Below are 20722 nucleotides of genomic sequence, written 5' to 3'. Positions count from 1 at the left end.
TCAATACCTAATTTATTGAGAGTTTTTAGCATGAAGAGTTGTTGAATTTTGTCAAAGGCTTTTTCTGCATCTATTGAGATAATCATGTGGTTTTTGTCTTTGGCTCTGTTTATATGCTGGATTACATTTATTGATTTGAGTATATTGAACCAGCCTTGCATCCCAGGGATGAATCCCACTTGATCATGGTGGATAAGCTTTTTGATGTGCTGCTGGATTCGTTTTGCCAGTATTTTATTGAGGATTTTTGCATGAATGTTTATCAAGGATATTGGTCTAAAATTCTCTTTTTTGGTTGTGTCTCTGCCCGGCTTTGGTATCAGGATGATGCTGGCCTCATAAAATGAGTTAGGGAGGATTCCCTCTTTTTCTATTGATTGGAATAGTTTCAGAAGGAATGGTACCAGTTCCTCCTTGTACCTCTAGTAGAATTCGGCTGTGAATCCATCTGGTCCTGGACTCTTTTTGGTTGGTAAGCTATTGATTATTGCCACAATTTCAGATCCTGTTATTGGTCTATTCAGAGATTCAACTTCTTCCTGGTTTAGTCTTGGGACAGTGTATGTGTCGAGGAATTTATCCATTTCTTCTAGATTTTCTAGTTTATTTGCATAGAGGTGTTCGTAGTATTCTCTGATGGCAGTTTGTATTTCTGTGGGATCGGTGGTGATATCCCCTTTATCATTTTTTATTGCGTGTATTTGATTCTTCTCTTTTTTTCTTTATTAGTCTTGCTAGCAGTCTATCAATTTTGTTGATCCTTTCAAAAAAGCAGCTCCTGGATTCATTAATTTTTTGAAGGGTTTTTTGTGTCTCTATTTCCTTCAGTTCTGCTCTGATTTTAGTTATTTCTTGCCTTCTGCTAGCTTTTGAATGTGTTTGCTCTTGCTTTTCTAGTTCTTTTAATTGTGATGTTAGGGTGTCAATTTTGGATCTTTCCTGCTTTCTCTTATGGGCATTTAGTGCTATAAATTTCCCTCTACACACTGCTTTGAATGCGTCCCAGAGATTCTGGTATGTTGTGTCTTTGTTCTCGTTGGTTTCAAAGAACATCTTTATTTCTGCCTTCATTTCGTTATGTACCCAGTAGTCATTCAGGAGCAGGTTGTTCAGTTTCCATGTAGTTGAGCGGTTTTGAGTGAGATTCTTAATCCTGAGTTCTAGTTTGATTGCACTGTGGTCTGAGAGATAGTTTGTTATAATCTCTGTTCTTTTACATTTGCTGAGGAGAGCTTTACTTCCAAGTATGTGGTCAATTTTGGAATAGGTGTGGTGTGGTGCTGAAAAAAGTGTATATTCTGTTGATTTGGGGTGGAGAGTTCTGTAGATGTCTATTAGGTCCGCTTGGTGCAGAGCTGAGTTCAATTCCTGGGTATCCTTGTTAACTTTCTGTCTTGTCGATCTGTCTAATGTTGACAGTGGGGTGTTAAAGTCTCCCATTATTATTGTGTGGGAGTCTAAGTCTCTTTGTAGGTCACTAAGGACTTGCTTTATGAATCTGGGTGCTTCTGTATTGGGTGCATATATATTTAGGATAGTTAGCTCTTCTTGTTAAATTGATCCCTTTACCATTATGTAATGGCCGCCTTTGTCTCTTTTGATCTTTGTTGGTTTAAAGTCTGTTTTATCAGAGACTAGGATTGCAACCCCTGCCTTTTTTTGTTTTTGATTTGCTTGGTAGATCTTCCTCCATCCTTTTATTTTGAGCCTATGTGTGTCTCTGCACATGAGATGGGTTTCCTGAATACAGCACACTGATAGGTCTTGACTCTTTATCCAATTTGCCAGTCTGTGTCTTTTAATTGGAGCATTTAGTCCATTTACATTTAAAGTTAATATTGTTATGTGTGAATTTGATCCTGTCATTATGTTGTTAGCTGGTTATTTTGCTCATTAGTTGATGCAGTTTCTTCCTAGTCTTGATGGTCTTTACATTTTGGCATGTTTTTGCAGCGGCTGGTACCGGTTGTTCCTTTCCATGTTTAGCGCTTCCTTCAGGAGCTCTTTTAGGGCAGGCCTGGTGGTGACAAAATCTCTCAGCATTTGCTTGTCTGTAACGTATTTTATTTCTCCTTCGCTTATGAAGCTTAGTTTGGCTGGATATGAAATTCTGGGTTGAAAATTCCTTTCTTTAAGAATGTTGAATATTGGCCCCCACTCTCTTCTGGCTTGTAGGGTTCCTGCTGAGAGATCAGCTGTTAGTCTGATGGGCTTCCCTTTGAGGGTAACCCGACCTTTCTCTCTGGCTGCCCTTAACATTTTTTCCTTCATTTCAACTTTGGTGAATCTGACAATTATATGTGTCTTGGAGTTGCTCTTCTCGAGGAGTATCTTTGTGGCGTTCTCTGTATTTCCTGAATCTGAATGTTGGCCTGCCTTGCTAGATTGGGGAAGTTCTCCTGGATAATATCCTGCAGAGTGTTTTCCAACTTGGTTCCATTCTCCCCGTCACTTTCAGGTACACCAATCAGACATAGATTTGGTCTTTTCACATAGTCCCATATTTCTTGGAGGCTTTGCTGATTTCTTTTTATTCTTTTTTCTCTAAACTTCCCTTCTCACTTCATTTCATTCATTTCATCTTCCATTGCTGATACCCTTTCTTCCAGTTGATCGCATCGGCTCCTGAGGCTTCTGCATTCTTCACGTAGTTCTCGAGCCTTGGTTTTCAGCTCCATCAGCTCCTTTAAGCACTTCTCTGTATTGGTTATTCTAGTTATACATTCTTCTAAATTTTTTTCAAAGTTTTCAACTTCTTTGCCTTTGGTTTGAATGTCCTCCCGTAGCTCAGAGTAATTTGATCGTCTGAAGCCTTCTTCTCTCAGCTCGTCAAAGTCATTCTCCATCCAGCTTTGTTCTGTTGCTGGTGAGGAACTGCGTCCCTTTGGAGGAGGAGAGGCACTCTGCTTTTTAGAGTTTCCAGTTTTTCTGTTCTGTTTTTTCCCCATCTTTGTGGTTGTATCTACTTTTGGTCTTTGATGATGGTGATGTACAGATGGGTTTTTGGTGTGGATGTCCTTTCTGTTTGTTTTCCTTCTAACAGAGAGGACCCTCAGCTGCAGGTCTGTTGGAATACCCTGCCATGTGAGGTGTCAGTGTGCCCCTGTTGGGGGGTGCCTCCCAGTTAGGCTGCTCGGGAGTCAGGGGTCAGGGACCTATTTGAGGAGGCAGTCTGCCCGTTCTCAGATCTCCAGCTGCGTGCTGGGAGAACCACTGCTCTCTTCAAGGCTGTCAGACAGGGACATTTAAGTCTGCAGAGGTTACTGCTGTCTTTTTGTTTGTCTGTGCCTTGCCCCCAGAGGTGGAGCCTACAGAGGCAGGCAGGCCTCCTTGAGCTGTGGTGGGCTCCACCCAGTTCGAGCTGCCTGGCTGCTTTGTTTACCTAAGCAAGCCTGGGCAATGGCCGGCGCCCCTCCCCCAGCCTCGCTGCTGCCTTGCAGTTTGATCTCAGACTGCTGTGCTAGCAATCAGCGAGACTCCGTGGGCGTAGGACCCTCCGAGCCAGGTGGGGGATATAATCTCGTGGTGGGCCGTTTTTTAAGCTGGTCGGAAAAGCGCAGTATTCGGGTGGGAGTGACCCGATTTTCCGGGTGCCTCCGTCACCCCTTTCTTTGACTAGGAAAGGGAACTCCCTGACCCCTTGCGCTTCCCAAGTGAGGCAATGCCTCACCCTGCTTCGGCTCGCGCACGGTGCACGCACCCACTGACCTGCGCCCACTGTCTGGCACTCCCTAGTGAGATGAACCCGGTACCTCATATGGAAATGTAGAAATCACCCGTCTTCTGCGTCGCTCACGCTGGGAGCTGTAGACCGGAGCTGTTCCTATTCGGCCATCTTGGCTCCTCCCCCAAGGTTTCTTTTAAAAGGGATTGTGAGAGAAGTAAATCATTCACAAACTTCAGAGCTTGATTATTCCAAAGTGGCTTGTAACACACCTGGCAAGCACTGAGGTGTTACAACGTAAAGATAAGAACCCCTAGTAGAGTGAACAAAGTATCCAAATAAAAGTGTTAGGAAAATTTAATTACATTTTCTTTAAACAAATTTTTGTGTGCCCCTGCTGTCATACTACAATGTATCAAAGGAGAAATGTAACCCTGTGCTTTTTCCCTGAAAGCTATTGCTACTATCCTGATTGTCAAAATTAGAGTAGGAGTAATATTTTATATTATACTGCATATTATTAACTGTAAATATATTTTCCACTCACACCACTTGAGGAATTCAGGCATCTATCAGGCTTTCAAGTAGATAATCTCTAAGGTCATTTCAACTCTGGTTTTATCATTACTACTTCAGAAATGAATAATGCAGGAAATGATGGTAAGCCTATGTCATTACATAAGTGGTAATAAATGGTAATAAAGTTATGCACAATATCTTATGCTTTTAAGGGGTAGATATACTCTGATACTGGATACAGTTTTTCTCAATTGTGAGAAATAAATAAATGATTGGTAAATAAAGTTACCATACATTTATTTATGGTAATAAACTATTACCACTGAGTCTCACTGAAAGGCTTTAATTTCTGTCTTTGGGGGTGGGGCTTGTGCTTCCCACACTACTATGGAAAGCATACTCTTTGGTACAACTGGCTATTGAACTCTATGCATTGTGAGGGGGACCTGCCATTCCAGGAGCTGCCTACGGCGTAGTCATTGCTTAATGCAGGAACCAAAAATCCCCTTTGATCACTCCATGATTCCTTCTTCTAGGATGGCCATGTATAAACGCCTGTGGACTGTCCTTTGGGGAGTATCCATCTAATCTCTCTCTAAGCAGATGTTCTGGGACTCCTCCAAATACAAACACAACTCAAGGTCAACAGCTTGATTAGAAAGTGTAGAAATGAAGAGCAATTAGTTCTCTCGGATTCATTAAGGTCGTGGCAATCATCTTTTCCCAGCACGCAATGAGGAGATCAGCTTTCTATCTCTTTGGGGACATTTGTGAATGGAGTTTGGCACTGGATTTGTTGTCAGGAGTTGTGGAGGCTAAAGCCTGAAGGACAGCATTGTCCTCCTCCTAGTTAGTGAGTGAAGGCGTATGCATGGATGTGGGCTTATTTGGTTGGATTTTACAACACGTGAGGGAGTTTTCTCTGTTTGTTCTGGTGGCCATGGCCATGGGCTTTGCTTGGACCTAGCCTCTTCATGCCACATGCCCCACCAGAGGGACGTGTATCTGGAGCCACGGTACTACAGCACGTCTGCTGTCTCGGCTCCAAGCGGTTCCTACTTAGGGCTGCCCCCTGCATGCAGTGCTTCCCTTTTTTCCCACAAGCACCCCTTAGACTTTCGTGGCCCCTGATTTCTGGTCCTGCCATTGCTCATGACCTGCTGATGGCACTGCTTGCTGTGGAGTTACTGAAGGGGAAAAAGGCAGAGCCATCAAACAGCTCTGTAGGGCCCAGATGTGGAGAACGTATAAGTCTGAAAATCTTGCAGTATTTTCCTGCACCAAAATTAAGATAAAAACATTACATAATGTTAAGAGTTATGTGTTTAAAGCTCAAAAATCCCTTAGCAACATGGGTTTTTCCAGATGTGAAGAAGCCCAAAGATGGTGCCTGTTAAAGGCCTTGGAATCAGCAGCTATCCAGGAAATACAAATCAAAAACAATGAGATACCACTTTACTCACTAGGATGGCTATTATGAAAAAGACAGATACCAAATATTGACGAGAATGTGAAAAAATTGGAAGTTGCCATATGACCCAGCAATTCAACTCCGAGGTACGTATCCCAAAGAAATGAAAATATAAGTCCACTAAGAACTTGTACACAAGTATTCTTGGCAACATTATTCATAATATACAAAAAGTGGAAACACCAGCTCCCAAAAGGACAGTCCCCAAGTGTTTATAGATGGCCCTAAAAGAATGAATTGTGGAGTGATTTTGCGTTAGGCAATGACTACGCCGTAGGCAGCTCCTGGAAGGGCAGGTCTGCCTCATGATGCATGGAGGTCAATAGCCAGTTGTTTCAAAGAGTATTCTTTCCATAGGAGTTTGGGGAGCACAAGCCCCACCCCCCAAAGCCAGAAATCCAAGCCTTTCAGTGAGACTTTGTGGTAAGTAGTTTATTTATTTACCATGAATAAATGTATGGTAACTTTATTTACCAGTAGTTTATTTCTCACAATTGAGAAGAACTGTACCCAGTGTCAGGATATATCTACCCCTTAAAAGCATATGATGGCTGGGCACAGTGGCTCACAGCTGTAATTCCAGCACTTTGGGAGGCCAAGGTAGATGGAACACCTGAGGCCAGGAGTTCAAGGCCATCCTGGCCAACATGGCCAAACCCTGTCTCTACTAAAAATACAAAAAATTAGCCAGGCATGGTGGCACGCGCCTGTAGTCCCAGCTACTCAGGAGGCTGAGGAAGGAAAATCACTTGAACCTGGGAGGCAGAGGTTGCAGTGAGCCAAGATCATGCCGCTGCACTCCAGCCTGGCAACGGAGCGAGACTCTGTCTCAAAAATAAAAAAAAGTTTGATAACATATTGTACGTATTTTTATTTGTCCACTAACTGATGAACTGACAAATAAAATTTGGTATACTCATAAAATGAAATCCTATTTGGCATTAAAAGGAATGAAGTACTGATAACATGCTGCTACATGGGTGAAACTTGAAAACACTAAGCTAAGTGAAAGAAGCCAGTCTTAAAAAGACACCACATTGTATATTTCCATTTATGTTAAATGTTCAGAACAGGCAAATCCATGAGACATAAAGTACATTAATAGTTGCCTAATGGCTGTTCCAATTGCAGTGGTGTTTATAACTACTTGATCACAACCAGGTAGAGATTTCTTTGTTCCTTCTCCACTCCCACTGTTTCACTTGACTCTTCTTAAGAAATATAGTCGCCTAAAGTTGGAGGTTTCTAGGGAAAATTATTAGTGGCTGCTAATGGGTATGGGGCTTCTTTTGTGGATGATGAAATGTTCTAAAATATCAGTTCACTGGAGAGAACACAATGTACATGAGATCGCAATGTGTGAAATTCTCAGCGCAGATACAATTGTTTGTCCTGGTGGGATGGGGCACCAAAATTGTCAAGAGATGCTATACGGAGTGCAACCTCTTATAATAGTCACTGGAATGTTCATGTTTTTCTCTAATTAAGAAATTTTCCAGAATGGGAAACATTATCTAGTCAGTGACCTCACTAGAGAATTCATGTTTTCCTGTCAGCCTCATCACTGCACCCTTGATCTCCTTGTTTCTCAGGCTGTAGGTGATGGGGTTCAACACTGGGGTCACAACACAAAAGAGCACAGAGACCAGGATGTCTGTGTCCAGGGAGCACCCTTCTGTGGGCCTGTCATAGTTGAAGTGGTCTGTTCCAAAGATGGTAGAGATGATGAATATATAGGACATTGCCATAAACAGGCAGGGGCTCAGGCCAGTGGTGGCCCTCACCACATGGAGCACAGACTCACTGACAGGTGTCTGAGCAGGAGAGCTTCAGGAGCAATGGGATGGCACAGAGAAAGCAGCTGATGGGGTTGGGTTCACGCAGTGAGTGTGGCTGTCAGTGCTGTGTGTGTCCCAGAATTGAGTAGCCCACACATCCAAAACCCAGTCACCAAACAAACATAGACCTTTCCACTCATTAGGAGCCTATATTGAAGATGGTGGCAAATAGCCACACAGTGGTCATAAGCTATGGCAGCCAGCAAAACCCCCTCAGTGCTGGCTCATAATGCAAGGAAGAAGATCTGGGAAAGGCAGCCCTCATAAGAGATGGTCTTACTCTCCTGGAAGAAGTTCACCAGCATGACCAGGATGGTGGTAGACATGTAGCAGATATCCAGGAAGCTTAAGTGGCTAAGAAAATAACCCACTGGAGTATAGAAGGCAGGACTGACCCTGACTGCATTTCCCAGAAGAGAGATCAGGTAAATGACCAAGGAGAACAGGAAGAAAACCATTTGTAATGCAGGGTGCTTGGAAAAATTTAAAAAGATGAATTCAGTGACCACCATTTGATTTTCTACTTTGAATTCTTTCTCAACTGAAATGAATATTGGGAGATAAATAAAATAATAATGTGATATGATAACAGACATCAGGAGAGCTGATTAACTTTTACTCATCCTTTAGTTCTTGGATTAGATGACATCTCTTCTGGATTGTGTAGCTTGACTCTGAGAATAGGGTTTTGTATTGCCCTCATTCTCTTGATTCTCTGCCCCGTCTTCTTGTCATGCATATCACTATTGTCTATTAACTTGTTTGCCCGCGCTTCACCTCCACCAGAAAAATTCTCTTAGACAGGAATTTTTCTCTCTCCTTAGTCCATATGCTCTCCAGAAATTTTTTTTCAGATGTAAGGAAGGAAATCTAGTCAGCATTGATGTTGCAAAAACAACAGTTGGTGAATTATACCAGAGCCCCAAACTTTTTCTCCCAGCTTCTCTCTTCCGTGAGAAAAGTCACAATACCAAATTCTACCTTACCAAGTGTGTGGTAGCCTCAATGATCTTTACCCTCTAGTGTTATTCAAATACATGACAGAAAGAAATTGCAGTTGTAACTCAAGTTACTAGTCACATGACTTTAAAATACAGAGATTATCTTGGCTTATTTGACTGGCTTTCTTTTTTCTTTTTCTTTTTTTTTTTTTGAGACGGAGTCTCGCTCTGTTGCCCAAGCTGGAGTGCAATGGCATGATCTAGGCTCACTGCAACCTCCACCTCCCGGGTTCAAGCAATTCTCCTGCTTCAGCCTACCGAGTAGCTGGGATTACAGGCATGTGCCACCAGGCCTGGCTAATTTTTGTATTTTTAGTAGAGACAGGGTTTCACTATGTTGGCCAGGCTGGTCTCAAACTCCTTGACTGGCCCTTTTAAGGGATAATCACATAAGCCCTTAAAAGCAGAGATCTTTCTTGGGCTGAAGATAAAGTCAGAGTTTCAAATCACAAGTAGAACTTGACATGTCATTGTTGGCTTAAAGATGGAGGGGGCCACTGTTAAAGAAAAGGTAACCTTGGTCCTACAATCACAAGAAACTGAATTTTGCCAGGAACTTGAATAAACTTGGAAGTAGAATCTTCTGCAAAGTCTCACTCTATCCTACCCAGCTGACACCTTGTTTTCAGCAGAGGACCCAGCTGAGCCATGCCACACCTGACCTTCTGAACCACAGAATGGTGAGATAATTAATGGTTGTTTAAACTGCTAAGTTTGTGGTAATTGGTTATGGTAGCAATAGAAAACAAATACACCGAGCATCCCATTTTGTGTAAGAAACTTCTGATCATTTGGGGTAATTATGACAGAACACCACTCTAGAAGCATCAGAAGTGAATTCATCCTATACCCTCTCAAATCTTTGAGCATCCGTCTCTTCGTCTTTGCTCTCTTTTCCTTTGTGCTGCCAGTGGCTTCTTCTATCCCTCAGAGAACAAATAGAATACAAAAGAAAACATCAAACTTATACTATTCAGTTTCCCAGTAAGTAGCTCCAGTAAAAGGTTGGGGGAAAGACAAATTTGGAACTGAGTAGAGTGATATTTCTGGATTATTTAAAAATTTTAATTCATCTCTTTCCCCCTCTTTACCAGAAACAACAAACATATGCTAGACTGTGCCATAACAATCCCAAATTCTAGGAATCTTGAGAGCTCATTCATTTGCATCTGATATTATTTTCTTGGTGGATTGTCCTTAAACGAAGCTTTGTGTATCTTGGATTCCCAATTTTCTTTAGAAACTGCTAAGCTGTCTTTTTTCCTGAGTGTAAACCAGTGGTCAGCAGTAAAATCCAGCACTCCACCTATTTTTATAAATAAAGTTTTACTGGAACACAGCCACACCCTTTCATTCATGTATCGTCTATAACTGCTTTCATACTACAACGGCCGAATTGAGTAGCTGATAAAGAGAACATATGACCCGCAAAGCCTGAACTATTTACTTTATGTTCTTTTACAGAAAAAGTTTACTAACCCCTGGTGTAAGCAATTGGGTTTGGGAGTTTGACAGACTTGGGTTTAAATCATGCCTTTGTCACTTGTCAGCTTTGACCTTGAGCAAGTTATTTAGCTTTTATATGCCTTAGTTTGACCATGTGCAATATGGAATGTTTGGATTACAGAGGTTTTGTTTGGATTAAATAAGTAATATGTAAGAGAGCAGTGAACATAGTTAATCTACAACACACATTCTCCCCATTATGCCACTGCTCCCATTTCAAGTTTCCCTTTAAATTTCAAGTTTCATGCAAATTCGTGAAGCTTTCCATATTTTTTTAATTTTAAAATAAATTAAGAACAACAACAACAAAAATGTTATTTCCCCTGCATATTTCTTCATATTGACTCAAATGCTATTTATGATAAGAATATGACGTTATTTTCTATTTATGGGCTTGCCTTCTCTAATTCTTTTTCACCAACTTTACCAGATCCACTTTTAAGCAACTGGTATATAATTGAATTCACATATTTCTCATAAAATAAGTACTATGGTCTACCCTTACAGTTGTATCTGCTTTTTTTTTTGTTTTATAATTACATTTTTGAACATATTTTTACAGGAATTCTGTAAGGAAGTATATTTTGTCAATACTTTTAGATAAAATTTCCTCTGAAACTAAAAATTAAAATAGCTGAATATCATGAGGATGCAAATAACACCAAGTGTTTGATAAAATTACCAAGTGTTTGATAAAAATAACAACAAGTGGTTGATAAAATTACCTACTGCCTCTAAACTTCCTTCTCACAATATTCCCTAACTCCTGGTCAGAAACCTGGGAGTCATCTTTGAGTCCTTCCTTCCTTCATCCCCTGCCTATATCTATTTTTTCAGCAAATCCTGTTGATTCTCTGTCTCAAGTATATTTCAAATGTATGTATTTATTTCCCTCTCCATCGTCAAACACATGAACATTCTCTACATGGCTTATTCCTTCTCATTCTTTGTGTCTCAGCTTGAATATTATATCTCAGAGAAACCTTGTGACCACTAATCTAGCATAGTTGTTTTTTTAATTAAATCTCTTGCAGCATCCTATTATTTTCCTTCAAAGAATTTAAAGTAATATTTATTTTTGTGTTTGTTTATTCATTGGCTACCAGTTTCTCCCTGGTGAATAAGCTGAGTGAACAAGAATCATGACTACTTTGTTCACTGCCTGACCGATAATTGACACTCAATAAACATTGGTTTTATGAATGAATGAATTACCAGATTTATTAAAATGGAAAATAAATATTGTATTACTTTATCACCTTAAAATAAAAGTTCAGTCATGGTAGCATAGATTTTCTCACCTATCTAAATGTTCAAATCAGTCAAGCAGAAAGCATCATGTTGGAAAAAGTGGTGACATAACATAAAACCTCAAATTCACAATTGCTTGGACTAAATTATTAACCAATCAATTCAGTCAAAAGAAGGGGTCTATGTGTTGATGCAGCTTTGACCTTTAGAATAATAATATAATAATAACAATGATAATAATAGCTGGTATTTTCAGTACTTACTAAATGCCAAGTACAGTTACTGTACTACATGCTTCCTTTACGTATATTTATTTCCTTTAATGCTTAAAACACCTTTAAGAAGTACCATTATTATCCTTAATTTTATATGAGTAAACTGAAGTTTAGAGAGGGTAGGTAAATGCCCATAGTCATGTAATTAATAAAACCACATATTGGCAAAGATATGGAGATCCAGAATAAATGTTCAGCTCTATTAGCTCATCAGAGAATCTTTCTGTCTCTGGACATGAATTTCTTCATCTGTAAAACAGAGCTAGACTAGAAGATTGACGACATTCCTTCCACCTCTGATATTCTGTGATGATATTTGGTATTTACATATTTCCCAGTCTCCAAAATGAAACCATGTAACAGAGCAAGGGTAAAAAGTCAAAGATCTCCCAGGGATACTATAGTTGTTTATTCATTTGTCTTCATGGGATATAAAGGTCAAGGATAAGATGGGGATTTTATCCTGTACACTGATGTGGTGGACTAAATAATTCTACCACCACCCCCTCCAATGCCCAGAGAGGTCTATGCCCCAAACCCTGGATCCTGAGAACGTTTTATGTTAAGTGGACTTTGCAAATGTACTCAAGACTTTGGACCTTGATATGGGGAGATTATTCTGGGTTATGTGGGTCAGCCAAATCTAATCACTTGAGCATTTAAAAGTGACACATTTTCCCAACTAGAGTGAGAAGACATACAGCAAAAGAGATGAAACAGAAGAAGCAGAGTCAGAGAGATCCAAAACACGAAGGACACAATGTGCCATTGCTGTCTTTGAAGGGAGCCATGAGCTGGGGAATCCTGGCAGCCTCTGGAGGCTGAGAATGACCTATGATTGACAGCCAGAAAAGCAAGTGGGGCTCATGTCCTTCTGCTACATAGAACTAAATTCTCCTGACAACCTGAATGAGCCTAGAAAAAGATTCTCTTCTAGAGCCTTCAGAAGGAAACGCAATCCTGCTAATACCTTAATTGTAGTCTTTTGAGAAACCAAGCCAAGGAATAAGTCAAGCCATGCTGTACTTGGATTTCTGACCTGGAGAACTGTGAGATAATAAAATTTGTGGTGTTTAAAGCTGCTAAATTTGTGATAATTTGTTATAGTTTCTCAGCTGGGGTACTCAGGACATATTTAGTCTCTATCATACATGAGACATATTTGAGTTCTATCTATATTCCCTACTGCTTGGACTTCTGAACATTACATCTGGATGGACGGTTGAATCTTAAATCCTCATTTGATTTAAAGAGCAACAAACAATGTTCCTGGCCCTTCTTTACTTTCCTGTAATTGAAGCCCCTTGAATGCCAATCCAAGCGTTCAACTGTCCATTTTAAGAATTAGGTTTTTGCCGGGTGCAGTGGCTCCCACCTGTAATTCCAGCACTTTGGGAGGCCAAGGCAGGCAGATCACTTGGGGCCGGGAGTTCAAGGCCAGGCTAGCCAACATGGTGAAACCCCGTTTCTACTAAAAATATAAAGATTAGCTGGGCATGGTGGCATGTGGCTGTAATCCCAGCTACTTGGGGGGCTGAGGCAAGAGAATTGTTTGAACCCAGGAAGCGGAGGTGGCAGTGAGCCAAGATCATGTCACTGCATTCCTGCCTGGGTGACAGAATGAGATACCTTCTCAAAAAAATAAATAAATAAATAAATAAATAAATAAATAAATAAATAATCAGGTTTTGGAACTTCTTCCATAATGGAATAAAAGTAACCAGATTTGCTTTTCTGTCTTAATAACTAAAAACTTGGGGGAAAAGATAAAACAAAATGTGTTTTCAGATATTAAACAATGAGTGGAATGGGACAGAGAGTACTGAGACAAGGGAAACAAATGAGGTAAACCCTATGAATGCACCAGCTCACTGCATGGAGAGGGTGTCCAGGCCACAGCACAAGGAGGGGGTACATAAGTGGAGCCCAGTAGTCTCCCTTTATTAATAAGAGAAAATTCAGAGTTTGGGGGAGATCAAGGTACCTAGAATTTGCGTGGCAGAGCCCTGGAGAGGAGATGCACATAAAAAGAGAGTCTCAGAGATCCACAGAATTCCCTCTTCAGCAGAATGCTAATCAGCACATGAGAGCCAAGGAAAAGATTAGAGAGGATCAGTTGGAATAATCTGGAGAGCTCACGCAGGGCTGGGAATAGTTAGTCTTTGCACCAATCAGTGCGCAAAGAAATCCTAACACATACAAAGTAGACTCATTAGATGCCTTAGTAGAGAGGCAAAATTGACACTAGGCAAAAGGCTATTCTAAGCTCACCTAACAAAGCTTAAAAGCTAGTCTTAAAAGGATCAAATTATTTCTGAGTAATTTAACTGTGTCCAAGAACAAAGTCCAAAAATCCTTAAAGGAATACTAAAACTTCTTCATTTAGCTATGTAAAATTCACAGTGTCTGGCGTCAATCCAAAATTTTCAGGCATACAAAGAAGCAGGAAGGGAATACAACCTATATTAAAAAGAAAATATAATTTAAAAGACTCAGTAATGACACAGATTATAGACTTATAAAGCAATGATGTTAAAATAGCTACTATAAATACATTTATATGTTCAAGAAAGTAGAGGAAATTATGTATATGACAAGGAGAGACATTGAAGATATTAAAATATTGAAATTCTAAAGTAAAAATATAATGTTTGAGATACAGTATACACAGGATGAGATTAACAGCAAATTAGATATAGAAAAAGGTTAGTGAATGTGAAGTCATACTAATAGAAAATATCCAAAATGAAATAAGAGGTTGGGCACATTGGCTCATGCCTGTAATCTCAGCTCTTTGAGAGGCTGAGGTGGGAAGATTGCTCAAACCTAGGAGTTTGAGACCATCCTGGGCAACATGGAAAGACTCTTATCTGTACAAAAAAATATGAAAATTAACCAGCCACGTGCCTGTGCCTGTAGTTCCAGCTACTTGGGTGGCTGAGGTAGGAGGATAGCTTGAGCCCTGGAGGTCAAGGCTGCAGTGAGCTGTGATCACGCCATTGCACCCCAGGCTGGACAACAGAGTGAGATTCTGTCTCAAAAAATAAAAAAATAAAAGAAAAAAGGGACTGAAGAGAAATGAGCAGAACATCAGTGAGCTTGGGGACAGCAAGTGCCTTAATATGCATTGGAGCCCAAGAAAGAGAAGGGAACAAAAAATGTGGAAAAACAGTAGCCAAAATTTCCAATTTTATGAAATTTTTAAGCCCCCAAATTCAAGAAGCTTAACAAACCCCAAACAAGGCACAGAAAGAAAACTACACCATGCAAATCATAATCAAATTGGTCAAAACTAGTGATAGAAAATTTTAAAAGCAACTAGGAAAAAACGCACATTACATGCAGAAGAATAGAGATGAGAATGACAGCTGACTTCTCATCCAAGCAATGCAAGCCAAAAGACTGTATTGTTTATTTGTTTCCTTCCAATGTTTTAAGGAGCAACAGCTTGAAAGGAAACAAACTTGTCAACCTAAAAGTCTAACCAACATAAATATATTTCAAAAACAAGGTTAGGGACAACACTTTCAGAATGTCAGGGTGAGGACCTCAGTGAATCCTCTTCCCACAAAAGCAACAAAAATACTGGCAAAACACCAATAGAAACCAACCATTTTAAAACTATGAAAATTAACCAAAGGCACAGAACACACTGAAAAGCATTCACTCAAATATAACTGCCGAGCTTCATAAGAACAGTGGGGTCTATGGTGCTTTAACTTGGAACTATTCCCACGTACCCAACCCCTAGTACCAGGGTGGTAGCTGTGAAGAGCTGGCAGCCAGTGAAGAAGTTTGACCTGTTTTGAGCTTTGTGAAAACCCCCATCCTCAGAGCACTGTCAATATTTTTATAATATTTCTCCTTGACTTGTACATGGCCATTCTGTCCGTCTTCACATTGTCCTCCCTGTGTGCATATCTGTGTACAAATTTCATTTTCCTGTAAGATTACCAGTCACATTGGATTAGAATTCACTCTAATGACTTCATTTTAACTTAATTACCTTTTTTAAAACCCTGTTTCCAAAAACAGCCATGTTCTAAGACAGTGGGGGTGAGGACTTCACCATTTTGAGGGGAACACAATTCAGCCCATAACAAAAAAGAGCCTGGCCAAAAATCTAAAAGGATGACTTGGGGAACAAGTCATATGATAACAGAGGACTTTGTAAAGCTCTGACATATTCCTGGAGATCCAGAAGGCTACACATGCTGCACAGGACCAAGTGCATGGCCAGGGAAAACCAGAGAGGGATCCAGTAACTTACATTTGGGCAAACTTGCAGCCCTGTGCAAGCAAGAAGTAAATGTTAATGCTGACTTATAAACCCCTTTAGATTTGAAGATGTGCCTTCACATACAAATCTCCTTGGCAAAACGTTGAAGACACTGGATCAAAGCATTAAGAAAATCTTCTGACCAATCATTGGATAATTACCCAACTATGTTGACCTAGAGGTGACCCCTAAAAAGACAGGCTTGAAAGTAAAAATGAGAATTTTTAAAAAGTAATCAGAAAACTCAGTGGCTGTACACTCCAGGAAATACAAAATCTACAGAATTGGTTTAGAAAAGTCATGGAAAAAAACAAGCATCAAGCAGGATTTTATTTTTTAAAATTAGCTTGATTGAGCCATTTTATGTCATACACATATTTTAAAACATCATGTTGTCCATGATAAATATATATACTCTTTGTCAATTAAAAAACCCCAAAGCAATAACAACAAAATTGGAAGATAGAAGGAGGATCTGAATCTAAAGTTGCTACAATATCTTCTCCTCTAAAATGTCCAGTTTTAACAAAAACAAAAAATCAGACATGCAAAGAAATAAGGAAGTATGGCCCACACATAGGAAAAACACTGCATTTGATTGGAAAGGTTCTTGAGGGGGACAAGCTGTTGGATTTAGTAGACAAAGACTTTAAAGCAGCTATTAAAAATAAGTTAAAAAAGAAAATACTATGTTAAAATAGCTAAAGGAAAGTGTAAAAATTATGTTTCACCAAATAGAGCGTATCTATAAAGAGATAAAAGTTATAAAAATCACCAAATAGAATTTTTGGAGTTGAAAAGTACAATAACGAAAATGAAAAATTCACTATATGAGTTAAACCAGTAGTTTTAGCAGAGACAAGTGTAACCACCCAATGAGTTCTTCTGGCCTGCTAAACAGAAAAGCCAACTCACTGAGACAGTGGTATTGCAGCAGTAAAAATGTAATTATCACAGGACCAGCCAAATGAGAAGACAGGAGATAATCTCAAATCTGCCTCCCCAAAAGCTCAGAGGCTAGGGTTTTTAAAGATAATTTGGTAGGCAGGGTTCTAGGGAATGGGTACTGCTGATTGGTTGGAGATGAAATCATAGGAGTGTACAAACTATCTTCACATGCTGAATCAGTTTCTGGGTGGGGGCTCACATGACTAGTTGAGCCAGTTCCTTGTTGTAAGTCATGGGTCTGGGTGGAATCAGTTTGTCACCAGAATACGCAGTCTGAAAAATATTTCAAACACTAATTTTAGGTTTTGGCAATAGTCATGTTATCTACAGGAACAATTGGAGAAGTTACAAATCTTGTGATCTCCAGAGCAGTAAACAACTATATAGAAAGGCAAGCTAGGGAACAATGGCTTGTTATCATTAACTATGTGTATATTTTAGCAGAATTCAAGCTACTCCCATAGTCCTAATTCTGTGGCCTTTCGTTAGTCATACAAAAGTGGTTTTTGTCCCTTAGCAAGGAAGGAGTTAGTTTCAGGAAGGGACTGTTAACATCTTTATTTTAAAGTTAACAGAGGCAATTAGCTTGTGAGGTTAGAAGCAAGATGGAGTCAGATTAGATTTTTCTCACTGCTAAAATTTTTGCAAAGGCAGTTTCAGAAGAATGTTCAGGAAACTTGAAACTAGGCCAATAGATATTATGCAGTCTGAGGAATAGAAAGAATAAAGAATGAGAAAAAATGAACAGAGCCTCAGAGACCTGTGGAACACTACAAAAATAACAAATTTGCATAATGAAAGTACCAAAAAGAGAATATATAGAAATGGATGCAAAAATTACATGCCTACATAAAAATATTTTTATTGGTATACAATAGTTGTACATATTTTGAGTACATGTGATATTTGATACCAGTATACTATATGTAATGATCAGATCAGGGTAACTGGTGTATCCATCACCTCTAACATTAATCATTTCTTTGCACTGGAAACATTACACTTGTTCTATTCTATTTTGACATATACAGTCAGTTATTATTTTTTTTTGAATTTTTAAATTATTTTAATGATATAAATATAACATCAGCACCTAATCCTGGTAATGGTAGCACAAAAAAGAAAAGTATAGAGCAATATCATTTATGACAATTGATGCAAAAATCTGAAATACAATTTAGAAATAGATTCCCAAGCAACATTCAAAAAAAACACCACACCATGACTTGATATTTATACGAAGAATGCAAGAACCTGTTAGCATTCTGTTAGGAAACCTACTATTAGAGTGCACAATACTAATAGGAGTAAGAAAAAAAATCACACGGTTACCTCCACAGATGCTTAAAAAGCCTTTGAAAAAATTCAACTTACGTCCTACTAAAAAAAAGAAAATTGCAATGAATTGGTTCTTAACATGTGGAAATAAACACTCTCATACAATGCTTGTGGGAATAAAAAATGACACAATTCCATGTACCTACAAGACATCCCAGCCATTCCACTCCTAGTTATTCAAGAGACTTGAATAACTCTGTATTAGGCCTTTTTTGCATTACTATAAGGGAATATCTGAGACTGGGTAATTTATAAAGAAAAGAGGTTTAATTGGCTTATGGTTCTGCAGGCTGTATAAACGTGGCACCAACATCTGCTCAGCTCCTGATGAGGGCCTCAGAAAGTTCACAGTCATGGCAGAAGGTGAAGGGGAGCCAGCATGTCACATGGTGAGAGCAAGAGCAAGAGAGTGAGAATGGGGAGGTCCCAGATTCTTTTTATTTTTTTAATTTTATTATTATTATACTTTAAGTTTTAGGGTACATGTGCACAACGTGCAGGTTTGTTACATATGTATACTTGTGCCATGTGGGTGTGCCGCACCCATTAACTTGTCATTTAGCATTAGGTGTATCTCCTAATGCTATTCCCTCCCCCCTCCCCCCACCCCACGACAGGCCCCAGTGTGTGATGTTCCCCTTCCTGTGTCCATGTGTTCTCATTGTTCAATTCCCACCTGTGAGTGAGAATGTGGTGTTTGGTTTTTTGTCCTTGTGATAGTTTGCTGAGAATGATGGTTTCCAGTTTCATCCATGTCCCTACAAAGGACATGAACTCATCATTTTTTATGGCTGCATAGTATTCCATGGTGTATATGTGCCACATTTTCTTAATCCAGTCTATCGTTGTTGGACATTTGGGTTGGTTCCAAGTCTTTGCTACTGTGAATAGTGCCGCAATAAACATACGTGTGTATATGTCTTTATAGCAGCATGATTTATAATCCTTTGGGTATATACCCAGTAATGGCATGGCTGGGTCAAATGGTATTTCTAGTTCTAGATCCCTGAGGAATCGCCCCACTGACTTCCACAATGGTTGAACTAGTTTACAGTCCCACCAACAGTGTAAAAGTGTTCCTATTTCTCCACATCCTCTCCAGCACCTGTTGTTTCCTGACTTTTTAATGATCACCATTCCAACTGGTGTGAGATGGTATCTCATTGTAGTTTTGATTTGCATTTCTCTGATGGCCAGTGATGATGAGCATTTTTTCATGTGTTTTTTGGCTGCATAAATGTCTTCTTTTGAGAAGAGTCTGTTCATATCCTTTGCCCACTTTCTGATGGGGTTGTTTGTTTTTTTCTTGTAAATTTGTTTGAGTTCATTGTAGATTCTGGATATTAGCCCTTTGTCAGATGAGTAGGTTGCGAAAATTTTCTCCCATTCTGTAGGTTGCCTGTTCACACTGATGGTAGTTTCTTTTGCTGTGCAGAAGCTCTTTAGTTTAATTAGATCCCATTTGTCAATTTTGTCTTTTGTTGCCATTGCTTTTGGTGTTTTAGACATGAAGTCCTTGCCCATGACTATGTCCTGAATGGTATTGCCTAGGTTTTCTTCTAGGGTTTTTATGGTTTTAGGTCTAACATGTAAGTCTTTAATCCATCTTGAATTAATTTTTGTATAAGGTGTAAGGAAGGGATCCAGTTTCAGCTTTGTACATATGGCTAGCCAGTTTTCCCAGCACCATTTATTAAATAGGGAATCCTTTCCCCATTGCTTGTTTTTGTCAGGTTTGTCAAAGATCAGATAGTTGTAGATATGCGGCATTATTTCTGAGTGCTCTGTTCTGTTCTATTGGTCTATATCTCTGTTTTGGTACCAGTACCATGCTGTTTTGGTTATTGTAGCCTTGTGGTATAGTTTGATGCCAGGTAGCGTGATGCCTCCAGCTTTGTTCTTTTGGCTTAGGATTGACTTGGTGATGCGGGCTCTTTTTTGGTTCCATATGAACTTTAAAGCAGTTCTTCCCAATTCTGTGAAGAAAGTCATTGGTAGCTTGATGAGGATGGCATTGAATCTATAAATTACCTTGGGCAGTATGGCCATTTTCACGATATTGATTCTTCCTACCCATGAGCATGGAATGTTCTTCCATTTGTTTGTATCCTCTTTTATTTCCTTGAGCAGTGGTTTGTAGTTCTCCTTGAGGAGGTCGTTCACATCCCTTGTAAGTTGGATTCCTAGGTATTTTATTCTCTTTGAAGCAATTGTGAATGGGAGTTCACTCATGATTTGGCTTTCTGTTTGTCTGTTGTTGGTGTATAAGAATGCTTGTGATTTTTGTACATTGATTTTGTATCCTGAGACTTTGCTGAAGTTGCTTATCAGCTTAAGGAGATTTTGGGCTGAGACGATGGGGTTTTCTAGATATACAATCATGTCATGTGCAAACAGGGACAATTTGACTTCCTCTTTTCCTAATTGAATACCCTTTATTTCCTTCTCCTGCCTAATTGCCCTGGCCAGAACTTCCAACACTATGTTGAATAGGAGTGGTGAGAGAGGGCATCCCTGTCTTGTGCCAGTTTTCAAAGGGAATGCTTCCAGTTTTTGCCCATTCAGTATGATATTGGCTGTGGGTTTGTCATAGATCGCTCTTATTATTTTGAAATATGTCCCATCAATACCT

At 39.5% G+C, this 20722-nt stretch overlaps 1 long non-coding RNA gene and 1 pseudogene across 1 annotated transcript in view, besides 2 other annotated features; one reads left to right on the top strand and one right to left on the bottom strand.

Moving 5' to 3' along the window:
• LINC00624 (long intergenic non-protein coding RNA 624) overlaps positions 1 to 20722 on the top strand; it is a 135684-nt gene that overhangs the window by 90807 nt on the left and 24155 nt on the right. The gene's annotated exons all lie outside the window — the stretch shown is intronic.
• Positions 3118 to 3653: an enhancer, noted in NCBI's record as "H3K27ac-H3K4me1 hESC enhancer chr1:146895143-146895678 (GRCh37/hg19 assembly coordinates)". NCBI's record gives its function as "activates a minimal SCP1, AML or CMV promoter by ChIP-STARR-seq in naive and primed H9 embryonic stem cells {active_cell/tissue: H9 hESC(naive and primed)}" and the evidence as "EXISTENCE:reporter gene assay evidence [ECO:0000049][PMID:30033119]".
• Positions 3654 to 4190: an enhancer, noted in NCBI's record as "H3K27ac-H3K4me1 hESC enhancer chr1:146894606-146895142 (GRCh37/hg19 assembly coordinates)". NCBI's record gives its function as "activates a minimal SCP1, AML or CMV promoter by ChIP-STARR-seq in naive and primed H9 embryonic stem cells {active_cell/tissue: H9 hESC(naive and primed)}" and the evidence as "EXISTENCE:reporter gene assay evidence [ECO:0000049][PMID:30033119]".
• OR13Z1P (olfactory receptor family 13 subfamily Z member 1 pseudogene) lies at positions 7171 to 8063 on the bottom strand (annotated as a pseudogene).

This window comes from Homo sapiens, chromosome 1 (genome assembly GCF_000001405.40).
Source record: "Homo sapiens chromosome 1, GRCh38.p14 Primary Assembly".
Lineage (NCBI taxonomy): Eukaryota > Metazoa > Chordata > Mammalia > Primates > Hominidae > Homo > Homo sapiens.
Note: the sequence above shows the minus strand (reverse complement) of the source record. Positions and strands in the feature narration are given on the sequence as shown.